Source organism: Homo sapiens, chromosome 9 (assembly GCF_000001405.40).
Source record: "Homo sapiens chromosome 9, GRCh38.p14 Primary Assembly".
Classification (NCBI taxonomy): Eukaryota; Metazoa; Chordata; class Mammalia; order Primates; family Hominidae; genus Homo; species Homo sapiens.
Window position 1 is genome coordinate 82,566,524 of NC_000009.12, and position 21,304 is coordinate 82,587,827.

Below are 21,304 nucleotides of genomic sequence, written 5' to 3' on the forward strand. Positions count from 1 at the left end.
ACCCTCCAGGACTAACATGAAGAGGGGAGAGTTTTCCCCAGTAGTACTCTGCTTAAGCCTTCAGCTCACAAGGCTGACTCAGTTACTATTATTACTAAGTTACTTAGTAGGTACTCAGTTACCACTAAGGGATTGCATTCCTTATTTGCCTAATAAATGCATTTTATCATAGTTCTTGGGTTTCATATGTTAAATATCATGTGGGATTTTAATTACCTCAGTAACTCCAGAAAAGCTTGCTTTATACTATACAGAGCACCTTTAGTAACATTTGGGCCCTTGCAACCAATAAGCAATAATGGCTGCTATTAGCTTGTGTATGGAAGAAACTATTTTCAATTCACGTGTAATTAAAAATTTGCACTACAGCCTAAGGTATCAGAGTTGAGCAGGCCATGGTTCTATGGTTAAGGGCTCTCCACATAAAGAAAGCTAAAAAAATTCCTATGAAGCCCAGAACATGTCTACATACAGGAATCTCTCTCTGGCCATTTACTCAATTTCCCTAGGCACTGTAAGAATCTCACATTTCGGTCAAAGGACTGCAAGCAAATATTACATTTTTTAGGGCTGATATGGACCTGAGAAAACTTCTAGAATTCCTGAAGTTCAGAGACAATATCTTTATTCATTTGTATCCCCATTACTCAACACTGTGTCCGGAACATAGTAGATGTTCAGCCAATGTCAAGGGAGGAAGGGATGAAGGGAGGGAGGAGGGGAGGAAGAAAGAGAGGGAAGAAGGGAAAGGAAGGAGGGAAGGGAAAAGTGATGGCCTTAAAATGCCATCTAGTCTTCCAAGTGTATGAGGAACATATAGCATGGAGAACTTTAATGGCCCAAATTTGGTCCCTTTCTCCCTATGGCTAAAGGCAATGGCATCCCTGAGGCAGACAGCTTTTGTTTTTGCTTGCTTAACACCCCTCATACCTCTCGCCACCCCACTTCAGGCCTGTACTTCAATTGGAATTGAGCCTAGTTTGGGCTCCAGTTTGGACCATAGACCTAAGTCTGACCAAAGAGATCAGTTGAAGTGTGAGCACAACTAATTAGAATAATCTCCAGGGATTTCAAGAAGAAGGAACTCCCTACTGGTGTTTCTAGGGTCGGGGAAAATCATCCTGGAGCTGTTAGTGCCCATCTTTGGCCCCTCACTGGCCAGCTCAGAGATAAAAGGCAGAGAAATGATGCCTCATGTCATAGTTTGAACATTTAGATGCAGCCTAGAATATTTTGTTACCTGAACCAACAAATTTTATCACCAATATCTACCACCATCCCTTTTTTAAGGCCGTTTTAGTTTGGTTTCTGTTACTTGGAACAGAAAGAGTAATGATTAGTGTAAACACAAATACAAAAACTGCTTTTGCAAGATTACCACCAGAAACCTTGCAGCTATTAACTGAGAGTGGTGGTATCCCTAGGTTAGAAAATGCTTTGTCAAGCACAATTTTTCTCAGATTTCCAGGCTTCTCTGGCCTTCCTTCCTGATATGGATCTCTTTCCAGGTAGGTGTTCTCTGATCTCCACACACGGTCTTCTCTGCTTTAAGCCTCTCCCTAGCTCATCAATCACCCATGTATAAAGCCAAGTGCTAGCCTTCTACATTTACCCTTTTTCAGCCTTTAATTTTCTAAACCCATCTCATGTGTCAGCTCAGCACAGGAGAGAGCAATGGGAAACAGAGATTTATATGGCACCGTGTACTTTATATTTAATAACTGATCTGTCATGGCATTTATCTGCATAAAAAGGTGGGTAATCCATGAGTGGCTTGGCAGCCGCAGACTCCAGTGACTTATGCTTCCTGTTCCCTATCTCATGAAGATGGACAGCTTGGTAGATACCAGCTCTCACATGTTCAGAAATCTTCAAATATATCCCTGAATCTCTTATTTGGAAAAATGTGAAGTAACCTCACCAGGAAACAGTGACTTATAGCAACACAATATATGATGACGTGGTAGAAAATAATAGAAGCTGTATAGCTAGCAGGCTTTTAGTACAGATCCAATAGCTTGCAGGAGGTTTTCCATACAGCAGCTTTTGAGGCCTGGACCATCCTGTGATATGTAGATTAATTTTATTCCCTACTGCAAAGGCTCAGAGTTACAAAGCTACTAAGTGGCAAAGCTAGAACATGCCCAACTTCAAAGCCCTGGTTCTTTCCATTATACTTTATTTTTCTCCAGGTGGTTTACAACCATGAACTTGGGAGGACAAAGCAAGGTAAAACTGACATTTTGGTTAAATAGGTATTGTGTCATTTATATGCCAGTTATCAACTTTGTAACATAAAATGAGAGACTTATAGATGATAAAGTAAACAAAAGCTGGCCTGACCCTCAAGGCTTCAGATTATTATTATTATTCTATCAATAGTCTATGAATGTGTCATATATTATCTGTCTGCTACCATCAGGTCACATTGTATTTGCCTTTTATGTTTACATTCACAAATATAATTTGCAAGTCCAATTTAGGGTAGTTAAAGACTATGATGGGTCAGATGGACCATCTGGAATTAAAAACACAACCGTATATCCTGAAGGCACTTGCATGTCTTTCTTAGGCATCTGGGAGGAAATTCTCAGGGAATTAAAGGTCTTAGAGGACTGGAGGTATGGTTACATTCTAACAACCTGCCCTTCTTATTTTGCAACACTTAATGCTTTTGAATTTTCTTGCACGGTGACCTAGTTCGGAGCTACCACACAGTGCCTGGCCAATGGGAATCACTTAGAAGTTGTTGAAATAAATGTATGATTAAGACACAGAACACCAAGTGTTTCATTAGAGAGTGCTGGCATCTTCTCCACTGGTTGAAGGTTAGAGGAATAGAGTTGAGAACAAAGATGGCACATAGCTCTAAACCAGGTCAGATTTGAAGACTGTGTGCCCAATGAGATACCATCTCACACCAGTTAGAATGGCGATCATTAAAAAGTCAGGAAACAACAGGTGCTGGAGAGGATGTGGAGAAATAGGAACACTTTGAGACTGTTGGTGGGACTGTAAACTAGTTCAACCATTGTGGAAGACAATGTGGCGATTCCTCAAGGATCTGGAGCTAGAAATGCCATTTGACCCAGCCATCCCATTACTGGGTATATACCCAAAGGATTATAAATCATGCTGCTATAAAGACACATGCACACCTTTGTTTATTGTGGCACTATTCACAATAGCAAAGACTTGGAACCAACCCAAATGTCCATCAGTGATAGACTGGAATAAGAAAATGTGGCACATATACACCATGGAATACTGTGCAGCCATAAAAAAGGATGAGTTCATGTCCTTTGTAGGGCCATGGATGAAGCTGGAAACCATCATTCTCAGCAAACTATCGCAAGAACAAAAAACCAAACACCGCATGTTCTCACTCATAGGTGGGAATTGAACAATGAGAACACTTGGACACAGGAAGGGGAACATCACACACCGGGGCCTGTTGTGGTGTGGGGGAAGTGGGGACGGAAAGCATTAGGAGGTATACCTAATGTAAATGAGGAGTTAATGGGTGCAGCACACCAACATGGCACATGTATACATAGGTAACAAACCTGCACATTGTGCGCATGTACCCTAGAACTTAAAGTATATTAAAAAAAAAAAGACTGTGTGCCTTGCTTAGGGAGTTCAAATCACTAACCCTACAAATCATGTGTAGAGAAAAAAAGAAGGTGGTTTGCCCTCAGGATTTCCATCAGGACCAGTTCTCCAGAGATCAATGCCAAGTGAGGAAGAGAAGGAGCTTGGAGACCCTGGTAGTTCCTTCTACTCTGGATTATTCTGATTTCCAGGGTGACATAGGTACAGCAAAGTAGATGATGGTTGAGAAACAGCTGCAGTCCAAGAACAGTCATTTTCCAACAGATGTGCCAAAGGGGAGGGCACCCTCTGGAGGCTCCCAGCTGGAAAGCCAGCATCTTGGCCATAGCCTTTTTCAAGGGGTGAGCATATCTGGTAGTGGCTTTAGCTTAAGAGCTTTGGCAGTTCCTGGCAAAGGGAGCAACTGGTATAGAACAACTAGGTCATACATTTGCCACACTCTATATGGTTTAGGAGCCATTGGCTTGCCATCTGTACAGGCATCTTTACCCTCTTGTGAATGGGGAACAGGAAGCTCTAGACAGTAACTTCACACCTTAAGAGCAACCCCACCATCTGAAACTTCTATAGTCCTATGTTCCCCACTTTATAATAGATGATTCTGTTCCTTGATCCAACTGGTAGATTAGTTATTCTCCTGTCAAAATATTTGCTGCACTTGCCTTCGGGGCACATCTTACAAATAAGGTGTTTGTCAGAATCTCTAACAGGACAAGAAGGGGGAGATACAACTAAGCTTCCAATAAATGGTTTTGTGACAACTGACTGCTATTGTACCCACTTGATTATAAATGTGTTTTGTAAGTATGGCAGAATTTATTCTTAGGACTTGATTTCATGAATAAATACAATCTGTGAGAAAACAATAGCCCACATATTAATAGCCTTCAGAAGCTACTGGTATATACCAAAATAACTTAAAAAATTGAATGGGCAAACTGGCTTAGATCTGGTCTGCAATATGTGCTTCACCACCACCATTTTTTAACCTAAAATACCAGCTCTTCAGCTTACTAGTTCTATAACCATGAACAAGTCATTTAGCTCTATCTGAACTCATTTGTAAATTCATTCATTTATCTTTTTAGCTTTTCTTCATTCGCTCTGTATTGAGATTCTATGTGCTAGCAACTGAATTTGGTGTTATAGAAGGACTAATATCTACTTCAAAGAGTAATTCCAAATATTAAGATAATTTATAAAATCTCCTAGCACAGAGGATTAGTTAATAACTTTCTCCTGTATATGAATTTGGAAACAAAACATGCTGGAGGGTAAGGCAAAGAAAAGCTTTTTTTGGGATTTGGTCCATCTAGGTGCATTATTACTAAAGACTTTAGAGGTGTAATTTTTCCCTAAACAATAAAATGTAGGTATTAGTCTAATTGCCCAAAGGCTAAGTAAAATGAAGTTGAAGATCAGCATTCACCCATGGGCAAATATTTTCTTTTTTGCTTTGGAATCCAGTCCATGATATAAGCCATATTCAGATACAGCCTAAGGATAAGGAAAGCCACCCTTTAAAGAGCATGCTGAGAGGTGCCCTAACTGCAGGTGAACAGCAGGGTTTCCTTGGAAGCATCTCCAAAGCAATCCTGAGTGACTGTGCACACAGTGCACTCTGTGCACACCCTGCTCTGCAAAGGATCCCCTCCCTGCTTCCTCCCAGTCTCTCTAGTAGGTAGTTCAGTTTATACCACATGAATGGTTGAAAAGTACTGTTCAGTTACCTGAAGAAATTTTTTACTTATGTACACTTCTACTCTGAAAACTTAGAGTGGAACTGGAATGAAAATTTTCAAAATATCAAGAAGTATGTGGATATCCTAAAGCCACAATGAAAAGCCAAAAAAATTCATACAAGTTGCTTTGCTTGGTGAATCAGTGGGGGCTAATTAAATGTCCTGTTGATAATGGGAGATGTGGTGTGTTTTATAAGGGCTAAATAATCCTTCAGTGAGGCAAAGTGATGGTTTCTCTCATAGCAAGCTGCTGACTAATGTGAGGTAGGTGAACTCTTTGGAAGCGCCTTGAGCAAATGCACCTGGTACCCAAGCAAGGAGCCATTTATTAAAAAGCAGCCTGGGCGCCCCAGTGAAGGAAGAAAAGTTTAGGGCAACTGTGCATTGTACCTACTTTGCTTCCCCAAGAGTCAGACCTGGCAGCATTGTTGAAATTAGGAAGTATCAGATAATTTTGTATTGTAATCAGTTTCTACATAATCTTGCACAATGCAAAAGTAGAGACAATCTTCTTTAAGCTACAAGCTTTGTATTCTTCTTTGACCTCATATTGAAACTCCAGAAATCCACCCTTCATTCTGCTTTTTATCTCACCTGGCCTGGTTGGGTGCCCCTATGAATATAGATAGCTTTAGATCTTTGCCTTCTCTTCTTCAATGAAACTTGGCTTCCTAAAAAGATAAAGGAGCATGCTTTCAGAACCTATGACTCTTCTTACCATTTCTTTATGTCTTTGAACAATGGCTTGAAAGAGTGATACTTTATTAAATGCAAAGTGAGGAAAAAATTTTTGATCAAATCTCTTATTTTTTTTCTAAGTCTACATATATAAAATTCTGCTTAAAAATGTCTTTCAAAGACATTTTTAAGGAATGAATTATGGAAACATTTATTTTTATAACTCATTTGAGAAAAGTTGAAAAAAATTTAGCTCTATCCAAACAGAGTTTAGTAGGTATGGAATAAAGTCATTTTCATTTATCTAGGAAAATATAACTATAGACAGTCAAACACTAATAGGGAAAGTCTGAAATGCACTGATATTAAAATTCAATAGTGTGCTTAAAAGCATTTTCCAGATTTATTGTAAGGGGGCTATAATTATAAAGTAATTAGTAACAAGTTAAATACCAACAATGTTGATAATAATGACAATGCCAGCCAGCTACAGTGGCTCATGTTCGTTTTTTAAAAAGAAGTGTTAGAAAATCTAAACAAAGAACTGTCATTCCAATGCATTACATTTTCTTAATGTTGTGGAAGCCGTTTTTGAACCAGTTTGGAAAGTATAAAACTTTAGAACTTATCTTTGGAAATAAGAATTCACCTGGTCTAGTTGCAGTGGGCAAGATCAGCTCCAAAAGTAACATCTTAAAGTAGAGCTTTGATCTTTTCAAGTGATCTCAGCAAAATGGTAGACAAAGAAATTCCAATCTCTCATTCTTCAACAAACACATCAAAAACCCCAAGCAGAAACTAACTGAACCAACCTTTAAAAAGCTCTGGAAAGTAGTCAAAGATTCATAGCTAACAAGCTAATGCCTGGTCAAGAAAAAGCCATCTTTAAAATGGAAAGAAAGTTTTGTGGCATTTAACTTGTCCTTGTCCCACTCCTGCTCCCCACCAGTATGGCAGTGGTTTTGGTCTTCAAGCAGCATATTAGTTCTCAGTTCCCAACCTCAAACTGGAGGGAACACAGCAGAACTTATTTGTAAATTTGCATACTTCTAGTCTAACTTGTCTGGGGAATATCTAAAAGATTGTTGTAAGTTTCTTGTCTCTGTTTCACCCAGCTTGAAACTTAGGCAGAAAAAGTGGTGGGTACTGCTTATAAAAGCTGCAAGGTGATGACAGACCTACAGATACCTGGAACAAGAGATTATATAGAGAGACATACAGTAGATTGTCTTGGGCCCAAGGAGCAGGTGGAGTGAGTAGCTTTGGGAAATTAAGACATTCAAAAGCAGTCATGTATATGGGGGAATTTAGAAAGTCACATACACACATATCCAGACAAGATGTATGCTCAAAAAAGGCCAGAAAAGACCTTAAACTTTTACCTCAGAATGGCCCCTAGACTCATAACAAACCTAACTAATTGTTGAAGGAGTTTTTCAGCACAGACCCAATCTCTAAAGACTAGGAGAGTTTCTGGCATTCAAGGAAATCTCTGTCCAAACATTTGCTGAACACAGAGACTTCAATGATTATGCATAATAAGAAATGGTATTTTCAAAAATAGTTTGGGGGGCTGGGCACAGTGGCTCACGCCTGTAATCCCAGCACTTTGGGAGGCCGAGGTGGGCGGATCACAAGGTCAGGAGATCGAGACCATCCTGGCTAACACAGTGAAACCCCGTCTCTACTAAAAATACAAAAACATTAGCCAGGCGTGGTGGCGGGCACCTGTAGTCCCAGCTACTCGGGAGGCTGAGGCAGGAGAATGGCGTGAACCCGGGAGGCAGAGTTTGCAGTAAGCTGAGATTGCGCCACTGCACTCCAGCCTGGAGGACAGAGTGAGACTCCATCTCAAAAAAAAAAAAAATAATAATTTGGAAAAGTCTCAAAACCAATGAACTACTACAGCCCTCAACAATTTTTAAAAAGAGTATATGGAAAAGAAGGAGAATCTGATTTCCCAAGTTTCCCATGTTTAATAGTTAACTACTCAATTTTAACTAAAAATATTACAAGGCATACAAAGAAACAGGAACACATAGCTCATTCAAAAGAACAAAATAAACTGACAGAAATTATCCATGAGGAAATTCAGACACCAAACTTACTAAACAGCGGCTTTAAAACAGCTGTCTTAAATATGCACAAAAAGCTAAAGGACAACATGAACAAAGACCTAAATAGAATCAGGAAAACAATATATGAACAAAATGAGAATTTCAATAAAGAGATAGGAATTATAAAAAGGAATAAAACAGAAATTCTGGAGCTGAAAAATATAATAACTGACATTAAAAATCCACTGGAGATATTCAATATAAGCTTTGAGCAGAGAGAAAAGTAGCCATCCAATTTGAAGACAAGAAAATTAAAATTATCAAGTCTGAGAAACAGGAAGAAAAATAATTAAGAAAAATGAACAGTGCCTAAGGGTTTTGTAAGACAACATTAAATTGATCAATATATGCATAATGGGAATTTCAGAAAAAGAAGTGAGAGAGAGCATGGAAGAAAGAATAGTTGCAGAAATAGTGGCCAAAACTTCCCAAGTTGGATTAAAGACATGAATCTACAAATCCAAGAAGCACAACAAACTACAAGTATATTAATCTCAAAGACACCAACAAGAAGATATATCATAATCAACTGTCAAAAGCAAAAACCAAGACAGAGCCTTGAAAGCAGCAAGAGAGACTAGTCACATAAAAAAAATTCTCAATAAGATTACCAGCCAACTTCTCATCAGAAATAGTTGAGTCCAGAAGTCAGTGGCATATTTAAAGAGCTGAAAGAAAGAAAAAACAGTCAACCAATAATTGTATATCTGGCAAAACTACCCTTCAAAATGAGGTAGAAATTAAGACATTTCCAGATAAACAAAAGCTGAGAGAGTTCATTGTCATTAGACCTGCCTTGTAAGAAACACAAAAAGGAGTCCATTAGGTTGAAATGAAAGGATACTAGAGAGTAACTTGAGGCCATATAAAGAAATAAAGATCCCTAGTAAAGGTAAATGCATGTAAAAGCCAGTAATTTGGCTTTCATTATTTTGGCTTATAATTCCACTTTTTATTTCTTGCAGTACTTGAAAAATAAATGTATAGAAATAATTATAGATATTTATAATTTGGCACAGAATGGATAAAGATGTAATTTGTAATATTTAATAACATAACAGGGGATTAGGGTGGTATAGCAGTAGGGTTTTCTATGCAATTGAAATTAAGCTGTTATCAATTCGAATTAGATTGTTATAACTTTAGGATGTTATATGAAATTGCCATGGTAGCTAAAAAGAAATTATCTCTAGAATAGACACAAATGGAAATGAGAGGGGAACAAAAATATGTCACTACAAAAATATAACTAAATAAAAAGGAAGACTGTAAAGGAGAAAATTAGAAGCAAAACAACTACAAGACATACAGAATACAAATAAGAAAATTGCAATAGTATATCCTTCCCTGTCAGTACTCACTTTAAATGTAAATGGATTAAACTCTCCAGTGAAAAGATAAAAATTACTAGCATGGATAAAACAGCATGATCCAACTATACAGTGTCTGTAAGAGACCCATTTAGATCTAAAGGTACAAATATTAATAGGTTGAAGTGGGAGGATGAAAAAAATGCATTCCCTAAAAATAGTAACAAAAAGAGTTGGGTTGTTATACTAATATCAGACAAAATAAATTTTTTAGTAAAAAAATTTACAAAATACATAGACAGACACTATATATTGGAAAAGAGGCCAAATAATTAAAAAGACCTAGGAACTATAAACATATGTACACCAAACAACAGAGCACTTCAAATACATAAAACAAACTGATAAACTTGAAGAGAGAAATAGACAATTCTACAATTACTGTTGGAGATTTAAATACCTCATATTTAATAATGGATAGAACATGCAGATTAATAAATTAATAAATAGACTGGACAACACAATAAACCAATTAAACTTAATAGATATACAGAACACTGCACCCAACAACAGAAAAATGCATATTTTTCTCAGGTACAATTGAACATTCTTCAAGAGAGACCATATGTTATAACAAAAAATCAAATCTTAGTAACTTTAAAAAAATGAAAATCATATGAAGTATCTTTTCCAATCACAATGGAACAAAACTAGAAATCAAAAGCAAAAGGAAAACTGGAAAATCCACAAATGTGTAGAAAATAACAATGCATTCTAAAACAACCAATGTTTTTAAGTAGGAAATCACAAGCAAAGTGAGAAAATATCTTAACACCAGTGCAAACTGAAACACAACATATCAAAGTTTATAGGATGCAGTAAAAGAAGTGCTAAGAGGGAAATTTATAGCTAAAAATGAATATTTTTAAAAAGGATCTCAATATCATAACATAGGGAACTTGAAAAAGAGAGCAAAGTAAATCCAAAATTAACAGAAGGAAAGTAATAATACACATTAGAACAGGGATAAATAATATAGAAAAACAATAGAGAAAATCAATAAAACCAGTCATTGATTCTTTGAAAAATCAACAAAACTTTAGTAGATATACTCAGAATAAAAGAGCAAAGTCTGAAATTAATAAAATCAAAACTGAAATGGGAATATGTCCACCAATTGTACAGAGATAAAAATGATCATAAGAGAATACAATGAATAATTTTACACCAACAAATTGGATGACCTAGATAAAATATGACAAATTCCTAGAAACACACAATCCACCAAAACTGACTGATAAAGGAATGAAAAATATGTACAGACCTATAACTGGTAAGGAGATAAAATCAATAATCAAAAAGTTTCCAACAAAGAAAAGCCCAGGACCAGATGATTTCACTGGTGAATTCTCCTAAGTATTTGAAGAGAATTAACACCAATCCTCCTTAAATTTATCCAAAAATATTGAAGGAGTGGGAATACTTCCTAACTCATTCTATGAAGTCAGTGTTACCCTGATACTAAAAGCCTGACAAAGATATTACAAGAAAAAAAAGCTACAGAAAACATTCCTTATGAATATTGATATAAAAATTCTCAACAAAATACTTGCAAACTTAATTTAGTAAAATATTAAAAGGATTACACACCATGACCAAGGGGATTTTATTCCTGGAAAGCAAGAATGGTTCAACATGTAAAAATTAATCAGTGTAATACACTATTTTAATAGAATGAAGGAAAAAAACTACAAAGTACAGTTATCTCAACTGATGCAGAGAAAGCATTCAACAAAATTCAACACTGATTTATAATAAAAATACTCAATAATCTAAGAATAGAAGGAAACTTCTTCAACATGAAAAGGGCATTATATTTAATGGCAAAAGACTGAGAGCTTTTTCTCTAAGATCAGGAACAAGGCAAGGATGCCCACTATCACCACCTCCACATTTATGGAGTTCTAGCCAGAACAATTAGGCATGAAAAACAAAAGTCATACAAATTAGAAAGAAAGAAGTAATTATTTCTGTTTGCAGATAAGATCGTCTTGTACATAGAAAACCCTAAATATTCCACAATAACACTGTTAGAGCAAGTGAATTCAGCAAAGTAGCAAGAAATAAAATATACACAGAAAAATTGGTTGCGTTTCTCTCTTCCATTTATCACATTATAAAGAATGAAATACTTAGGAATTAGCCAAAAATGTAGAGAGTTGTACAATGAAAATATAAAACTTTGATGAGAGAAATGTAAAGAGACATGAATAAATAGAAATATATTTCATTTTAATGGTTTGGAAGATAATATTCTTAAAATGCAAATACTACCCAAATTTGTCTATAGATTCAATGGAATCTCTGTCAAAATCCCAATGACATTTTTTTTGGCAGAAATAGAAAAGTCCATCCTAAACTTCACATAGAATCTCAAGGGACCCCAGAATAGCCAGGAAATCTTATAAACCAACAACAGAAAAACAAAACTAAAAGATTCACAGTTCCTGATGGCAGGAGAATTGTTTGAACCCAGGAGGCAGAGGTTTCAGTGAGGCGAGATCGTGCTATTGCACTCCAGCCTGGGCAACAAAAGCAAAACTTCTTCTCCAAAAAAAAAAAAAAAAAAAAAAAAAAAAAAAAAAAAAAAAAAAACTTACCACAAACCTACAGTAATCAAAACAGTGTGGTACTGCCATAAAAACAGACATATATACCAATGGAATAAAATAGAAATTCCAGAAATAAACCCTGATGAGAGAGAGTAGGGAGGTCCCACACTCTTTAATAATCAGATCTCATGGTAATAATTACCACAGGGCAGGCACCAAGCCATTCGTGAAGGATCTACCCTCATGACCCCAAAACCTCCCATTAGACCCCACCTCCAACACTGGGGATCATATTTCTCTTTTATTTATCTATTTATTTATTTTTGAGACAGAGTTTCCTCTGTCACCCAGGCTGGAGTGCAGTGGTGTGATCTAGGCTCACTGCAGCCTCAACCTTCTGGACTCAGGTGATCCTCCTACCTCAGCCTCCTGAGTAGGTGGGACCACAGGCACACACCACCACACTCAGCTAATTTTTGTATTTTTGTTTGTTTGTTTTTTGTTTTTTTTTTTAGAGACAGGGTTTCACCATGTTGCACAGGCAGGTTTTGTACTCCTGAGCTCAAGCAATCTTCCTACCTCAGCTTCCCAAATTGCTGGGATTACAGGTATGAGCCACTGCTCCCAGGGGGGCTCACATTTTCACATGAGCTCTGGAGGGGACAAACATCCAGCCTACATTAAATAGGTTTACAGTTTTATGTCTCACTTTTAAATCTTTGATCCATTTTGAGTGGTCTTAGGTTGGGGTCCAACTTTATTAATTTGCATGTGGCTATCTAGTTTTCCTGGAAATATTTGTTTAAAACACTATCTTTTCCCCATTGAATGGTGTTGGCACTCTCGCTTCCTCTCTTGCCATGTGACACCCCTGCTCCCCTCTGCCTTGTGCCATGAATAAAAGCCTCCTGAGGCCTCACTAGAAGCCAAGCAGATACAGATGCCATGCTTGTATAGCCTGCAGAACCATGAGCTAAATAAAATTCCTTTCTTTATAAATTACCCCAATGTCAGGTATTCCTTCATAGCAATGCAAAACAGACTAATACACTCTAAGAAGAAAACATGTGGCAAAGATTCACAGCATTGAACTTGACAGTGATTTTTCGGATAAGACACCAATGGTACAACAAAAGAAAAAAATAAACAAATTGGACTTCATGAAAATTAACAAATGTTGTGCATCAAAAGACATTATCAGCAGAGTAAAAAGCCAATCCACAGAATATGAGAAAACATTTGAAAATCATATATTTGATAAAGGATTAATACCCAGAATATATAAAGAACTACAAAAATAAGCAACCCAATTAAAAAAAGGTGTAAAGGGCTTGAATAGACACTTCTCCACAGAAGATACACAAATATTAATAGTTTATAAGCACATAAAACATATTTAACATCACTAGCCATTAGGGGAATGCAAACCAGAACCACAGTGAGATATCACTTCACATCTACTAAGGATGACTATTATCAAAAAATGAAAAATAACAAGTGTTGGCAAGGATTGGAGAAATTATAAGCTTTGGTCATTGCTGGTTGGAATGTAAAATGACATATCCACTGTGAAAAATTGTATGGTGATTTCTCAAAAAGTTAAGCAAAGAATTCTCATATGATTTAGGATTGTCTTTCCTAAATATATACCTGAAAGAATTTTAATTGGAGATTCAAACAGACCAATGTTTATAGCAATATTATTCACAATAGCAAAAATGTGGAAACAACCCCAAAGTCCGTGCCCATTAACAGATTAATGATGCACACAGATTAAACTGTGATGCACACACACACACCCCCCTACCTTAGAAGGCCTCAACACTGTTGCATTGGGGATTATGTTTCCAACACATGAATTTTGGGGGACACAGACCATCGTGAACATATGCATACACACACACACACACACACACACACACACACACACACACACACACAATGGAATTCTATTTAGTCATAAAAAGGAATGAAATTCTGATACGTGCTACAACGTAGGTGAAACTTAGACGCATTATACTAAGTAAATAAGTCAAAGATAAAATGACAAATATTGAATGATTCTACTTACGTAAGTTACACAGGGTAGATAAATTTATAGAGACAGAAAGTAGAACAGAAACTACCAGGGGCTGGGAGGAGGGAAGAATGGAAGTTATTGTTTAACAGGAACAGAGTTTCTACTTGGGATGATGAAAGAGTTCTAAAAATGGATAGTTGTGACAGTTGCACATCATGAATGTACTTAATGCCACTAAATTGTGTGTTTAAAGTGGTGAAAATGGTAAATTTTATGTTATGTATATTCCGTCACAATTTTTTTTAAAGTAGAAGACTTTAAAAAAGAAAGATTCTCTCTGTCATGTGTATTTTACATTTTCTGTCAACAACTGAGCCTGGGCAACAGGTCCCTCCTTTGTGCTCTGACATCTCCTTGTACTTGTTCAGTCATAGTATGTGTGACATTACATTTTAATTGCCTATTTTGTTCTCCTCACTGGATAATAAGCTTCACGAGGGCTGATACTATGTCTGATGTGCTCTCTGATACATCGAATGTCTGGCACTGTGCTTGACTTCAGTAGCTGCTCAATAAATATTTGTTGTAGCAAACTGGAGTCCATTGTTTTTACTAGGACTCCAAATCACCCCTTCAAAAATTCACTTTAGTTTATTTAAGAAAAATAGACTATTGTAGATACCACAATACACTTTTAAAAGTCAAATACAAACTTCCAAGGAAACTCAATTGCTTTATCTATTCTCTCTTACTTTTATTACTTAATAAAAACACTTAAGAAAACACAAAAGAACAGTTAGTCACATGGAAGTTTGTGCTATCTTTTGCTACATTAGTTTTTCTATTCTGAAATTTCTGTGACCTTCAGGACCAACTGAAACATAGTTTTTTGCCTTATTGACTTAGGCCTACCCACTAGTGCCAAAAAGGGGTAGCTGCAGGTGTAAGTTACAGATTTTCTGACCTAAAGAGTTGTTCAAGGAAAGAGGTCTGGTTTGGGTTTTTTTGGACATTCTTCATAATTTCCAGGAATGTTTTCAGCAAGTCACAGGAGCTGCCTACACATGTATGACTTGTGATTTAAAAATGTAATTGGAATAACTGCAGTAGCTGATCTCTACAGATGTCTTCTTGATGAATGACACCACCCCTATTTGAACCTTTGCATAATCAGCTCCCACATTGGTCTGCTCTGACCACACATAGTAAGTCCTCACTTAACACCGTCAACAGGTTCTTGGAAACTGTGTCTTTAAGAAAAAACAACATACTCCAAAACTAATTTATACTATAGACTAATTGATATAAGCAAAAGTCAAGATCTGCAGCATATTTCTGGTTACAAAAACATCATCGAACTTCTAAATAAAGACCAAAACATTTCTCATATTAAACACTGAAGGAAATGTGAGCTATACATACATTTAGTATTCCAGTTCAGTTCAGGGTCATGGGTGGCTGGAGTCTGTCCTCGCAGCTCAGGCACAAGGCAGGAACTCACCCTCACCCTGGACATGTTGTCATCCCATCCAAGGGAACACTCACGCCCACACCCACATTCACTCAGTCTGAAATCATTTAGACACACCAGTTCACCAAGTGTGCACATCTTTGGGATGTAGTTGGAAACCAGAGTACCTGGAGAAAGCATGGACAGAACGTGCAAACTCCACGGAGACAGTGGCCCCAGCAGGGAATTGGTTATCTTTTTTCCCTCATTATCATTATAACAAAAGCACTTTGAATGAAACAACATTATTCAAAGATCCGTTGCAAAAAAAAAAAAAGTCCCCAGCCATATGGCCCTAGGCATATGATCCATCCAGGTGAGGCTTCAGCCTCATGGCACCGAGACAAGCCAGCCCTACTATGCCCTGCCATGTTCCTGACCAACAGAATTGGGAGCATACGAAAACGGCTGTGTTTTATACCACTCAAAATTGAGGAGGTTTATTACGTAATTGGAACAACACTTTTAAGTGTTTGTTTGAAAACAATCGCATTGTTTCATGCTCACAAATATATAGACGTGTGTGTTCTGGGAGTGCCTAAAAAGATTTCAGCTTACAGCTCTACCACATAGGAAAGTCACCTGATCCTTTTTAGCTTCCATTTTATCACCTGTAAATGGGATAATAAGTAATATTTCCCTTATGCTGTGGTTGTGATACTGCAGGTGAAAACACTTAGTAAACTGTGAATTGCTGTACAAAATTTCCAGTAGCAGTGGTGATCCCAGGTGGTGGCAGTGGAGTTGTGTGCAGTGATGATGGCGGTGGTTGTGGTTAAAGTTTAATCAGGTGGCAGTCAATGTTTTCTGTAAACATGTGAGCAAACCATATATCTGCAAGAACATTCTCAAGTCTAAGCATTGAAAAGTGCTCTGTGAGATACAAAAGCATAAGACAATCCTTGCCCTTAAAACCTGACAATATCATTCAGATAACAATATTGAAGTTCATAAAAGATCAATATATATTTTCTTGAAAAATAAAATTAAAAAATTAGACCCTATGGCCGGGTGCAGTGGCTCACACCTGTAATCCCAGCACTTTGGGAGGCCAAGGCAGGTGGATCACCTGAGGTCAGGAGTTTGAGACCAGCCTGACCAATATGGTGAAACCCCATCTCTACTAAAAATACAAAAATTAGCCAGGCCTGGGCGCGTGCGCCTGTAGTCCCAGCTACTTGGGAGGCTGAGACAGGAGAATTGCTTGAACCTGGGAGGCAGAGGTTGCAGTGAGCCAAGATCGTGCCACTGCACTCCAGGCTGGGCGACAGAGAGAGACTCCATCTCAAAAAAAAAAAAAAAAAAAAAAAAATTAGACCCTATGGTGTGGACTCCATTTGTTGCAGGAGTTCAGAGTTGAGAAAAATCTATATGGCTTTATAGAGAAGGTAGTTGTCCTGGAAACCGGGATGGATATTCCCTGAAAACCGTGATGAATGGCTACAGGAAAGAGAGGCCCTTACCAAACAAACAGGAGGAAAGGCATGTAAGGGAGACATGAACGTGCAAATGCTGGCGCAGATGTGCTTCAAGGTCTGTCCAACTTAAAGTGGGAATGTTCCCAGGGACATCGAACCTTCCAGGGTCACTGCCTGCTCTGTGCAGCATGCACTTGGAGCCCTCTTTGATCTGGTTCCAAGGCGTCACTTGCTTTTGTGTCTGAAACAAAACAGGACAGGCACCAGTCATCTTTTTTCTCTTCAGGTGAACAGCATTAACCATCCCCTTTCTGGCACGGTTTGCATTTTAGAAATTCATGTCTTGGTCAGTGGGGAAATGAGAGAATGGGAGAATCAGAAAACATTTTCCCCATAGAATCATTAGTACTAAAAGTGGTTAAATTCCCAGGCTTTCAGGGAAAGTGTATAAAATCCAGCCAGTGTGGCTTATCATTGGTGATTTGGGGGAAATAATATGTGTATCCTATGTGGGATGGCCATGTCATTTCTCTTCCCAGGACAGGAGGAGTGATGATGGCAGTGGAACACATGAGATCCCCGCTAATCATCCTGTCTTCCCCATCGCCCTTGCTCTGATTCTTCTCTGTCTAATGACTCTGGCTACTAAGAGCACCATGAGCCTCTCTCCCAGGTCAATCCATGAGACCCTCATCAGGAATGAGTGGCTTCCCAGCCACACCTTTTTCACTGGCTTCCAGGGAGTTGTCCTGCTGCCTGCCTCTCTTTTACCCCCACTCTTCGTGGTTTCACATCGCACTCTCTGCTCTCAGGCCACAGGCAGGGGCTGTTTCCTCCTGTCCTCAGTTCTCTGAAGATGATATAAGGCCTTTCCATGGCTTTCTAAGTACTTCTATTCCTACCACAATAGGAGGCAGGAAGAGATGGAGCAGAAAGCAGGGAGACACAGCAGCTTCACGTCTTTCCTAACAGCCGGTTTATGGACAGAGCCAGGTGCTGTTCCCCAGGCTTCAGCTCCACCACTGCCAGGCACAGCCAGGAAGGTCCATGACTTTTTCTCTTTTCCCTAGAAAGAACTCTGGGCTCCGTTTATGCAAAAATGCTCTGTATCAGCATCGCCTCTGACTCATTCCTCCTTGCATTTTCTCTGTCCTCTAAGTGACAGTGAGAAGGACTCTGCCTCAGAGCTACTTCCGAGGAAGAGTTGGCAATAATTATAATTAGAGCTGCCATAGACTGATTGAGTGTCTACTGTGTTAGGAACTCCACTAAGCTCAAACTTAATATAACAGGTAAAATTAATGAGCTCATGTGCCATATTATGGGTGAGACTTTTATACATATTGTCTCTTTTGATAGTGCAGCAACCCCACAATGTAGGAATCATTAGTGCCACTCTGTAGAGGAGGTGGCCAAGGTTTAGAGAGTAAAGTGGCTTGTCCAAAGTCCCATGGTTCCCATTCTCTCTGCATCCAAACCTCTCCTCTCACCTGCAGACTTGGTGGAGGCCCTTGTCTTTCCCTTTCAAGCAAGGCATCACAGCTCTTCCCTATGTAACACCCAATTTTTCCTTCTTTTCCCCCTACCCCAAGCCCAGACCCATCCCAGTCATATGGTACCCTCTGCCAGTGGCTCCTTTTTCTGCCAGTCATAGGTGCCAAGACCAAAGGAAGTACAAGTCCAGGCTGTGTTGGTGGTGGTCCAGAGATCTTCCCATCATGGCCTAAAACCCAAGTCTTCTTCAGCTCCCACAGAACAATTTCCCCCAAGAAAAAGGCTTAGAGGTGGAGGCTGCATCATCACAAATTCCTTTCATTGGGAGACTGACGCTTGGATCCAACTTCTCACCCCACACTTCAACTCTGGTAGAACTTGGATTTTAGGGGAGATGAGTTGACAGTATTTCCCCACCCTTTTCAATTATATACACCTTTGAACTTTTAACTCCATGCCACAGGACACTTCTAGACTCATCTTCCTCTACCAATTGCTCCCTGATTCAATGATCTGCCCATTCATCTCTTCACAAAAACCTCAGATACTAGCCATCTTCTTTTCTTGTAATTCATCCTCTGTGTTAAAAATTGTTAAGGAGGATGAGAAAACCAGTTATCCTATGCCTATTCTCAGGTCACAGACAGGTCTCAGTAATCGAGATATCAAGATGCAGGGAAAAGAGAAAATAGAGGGAGATCCCTGGTGCCAGTGGGGAAAAAGACAATGGATGTGCTGTGGTGCTCCAGCTGACCCCACAAGAGTCGGTATGAGGATTAAACGAGATAAAGAATGGCAAAGATTTTTAAACTCTCCAGCGACATAGAAGTATGATAATTCTATATATAGCAAAGCTCCTCAATGTTAACATTGTTTTATATTTTGAAGTTTCTGAAGACAAAATCCATCTTCCAATTAATAGATGCACTGACTTTAGTAAGAATTTTTTCCCCTACCACCAAAAGGTGCTGCTAACGCAGAGGTAGATTTTATGATAGATGGCATCTTAGGATCCAGACCATTCCATATAAGTTAGTTTGACACCCTCAAGTGAGGAGCTGGAGATGAGACTGAAGTTGTGGGAGATGAGACTGAAGTTGTGTCTTGTTCAATAAGAGTATATTCTGAGATATATGGCCCCACCTGAGCCATGTCATGGAGGAAAGTCTCTAGCTACTGCTGTGCCAAGCTGGAGAAGAAAAACAGAAAGTGAGGACAAGCTCTAAATTGCATTAGGGCAAGGGAGGGCAAGATGAGGCCCACCTCGCTCTTTAACTTTTACTAGGACTAGGGCGAAAAGTACAATGAAAGGCCCCTGCGGCCCTCCCACTTTATCTTCTCACCCCAGATCAGTTCTACAAGAGAAGGGTCTTCACATACATGCATGTGGGCACACAGGCCTATGCATACTGACCACATCTACTGACCCCAGCAGCCACTAGCTACCCTCCAGGCTAGGTGTGGCACATCAGTGGCATTGTTCACCCTTGAATAGTTCTGGGAAAGAAGCTCACACAAGCTCAGGAAGCATGCTTACGGCCCTTTGGGTAGGGAATTCCAGAATCTCAGTACTTGTAGTATGGTCTAGATGGTAAGCTCAAGAAAGGCAGCCATCTAACTCTGAGAAGTTAGACAAAGCACAGTTCAGAACATTGCTCTTACTCCTGACACCAACTATAATTTCAGGGATTCTGAAGACCACCCTCAGTTTTGATTATACTAAAAGGGCTCACAGAACTCACTGAAAGCTGTTATACTCAAGGTTATGGTTTATTACAAGGAAGAAGATTGACTAAAAGTAGCCAAAGGAAGAGATTCATCAGGTAGGTTTCAGGATGCTTCCAAATGTAGAACTTCCAGTTGTCCTCTCCCCATGGAATCATAAACAGCGCTAACTCCTCTCAGTAATAATGTGTGACAATATGCAGAGTACTGCCAACTGAGGAATTTCCCCAAGTCTTGGTACTCAGACTTTTTCTGGGAGTTCAGTGACATACCTGGCTTCTCACATAATTGAACTTTAGTCTTGAGCCCCTCTAGAGGCCCAGATGATAGTTTTAATTTCCATCTCCTCTGGAGATAGAGCAGATAACATGCGACACAAAGCCCTTTTCATAAAACACACTGTTAGATTGTCCATTGAGTCTGAAGGTCGCCAGGTAAAAAATGACACTCTTCCTTGAAATAACTTCCCCAGAGACCAGGCCAAAGGGCAAAACTTTCTTTGAGTAAGGTTAATTGTTTATTACATAGCTTCACATTTCTGACTTATGGAGGTGCTCAGACTAACCAGAAAAGATACAGGGTGCCCCACTACATTTGAAATTTAGGTAAATAATAAATGCTATTTTAGTATAAGTATGTCCCAAATACTGCATGGGACATACTTATACTTTTAAAAACTTGTTTGAAATTGGAACTTAACTAGATGTCTATATCTTTATTCACTAAGCCTGGCAATCCCAATGGGCAGGGTCAAGGATAGAGGTAGGCCAGAAACTGTGCCTTCTACAGCATGATCCTCTGAGTAGTGAAATCGTCTGGGACCAAGGGTGGAACTGGGCAGCATATCTATTAATATATATTTCCTGCAAACCTAAAGCAGAGTTGAGGACAGAAAAAGTCAGTCCCAGGGTCTCTAGCCAGGGATGGCAATTCATAGCAGGAAAAGTTTAACAACACAGCTGTGGCCAAAACTAGCACATTGACAACGAGTGAAGGGCCACAGGACCAGAGTAGAGCTGGTCACTCCAGACACAGCATGCGGCCAGAAGCCTGTCTCCATGAG

General features: G+C 38.8%; 2 long non-coding RNA genes across 3 annotated transcripts in view; one reads left to right on the plus strand and one right to left on the minus strand.

Annotated features, from left to right (window-relative positions):
• LOC107987087 (uncharacterized) overlaps positions 1-21,304 on the plus strand; it is a 288,244-nt gene that overhangs the window by 74,572 nt on the left and 192,368 nt on the right. The gene's annotated exons all lie outside the window — the stretch shown is intronic.
• LOC105376110 (uncharacterized) overlaps positions 1-21,304 on the minus strand; it is a 72,772-nt gene that overhangs the window by 37,568 nt on the left and 13,900 nt on the right. Inside the window, exon 1 of one of the 2 annotated variants that reach the window (XR_001746779.2) lies at positions 17,068-17,274. The exons of the other annotated variant lie outside the window; for it this stretch is intronic. This is a non-coding gene — a long non-coding RNA (uncharacterized LOC105376110). Of the gene's footprint in view, positions 1-17,067; positions 17,275-21,304 lie in introns of those variants that run through there. 2 annotated transcript variants of the gene reach the window in all.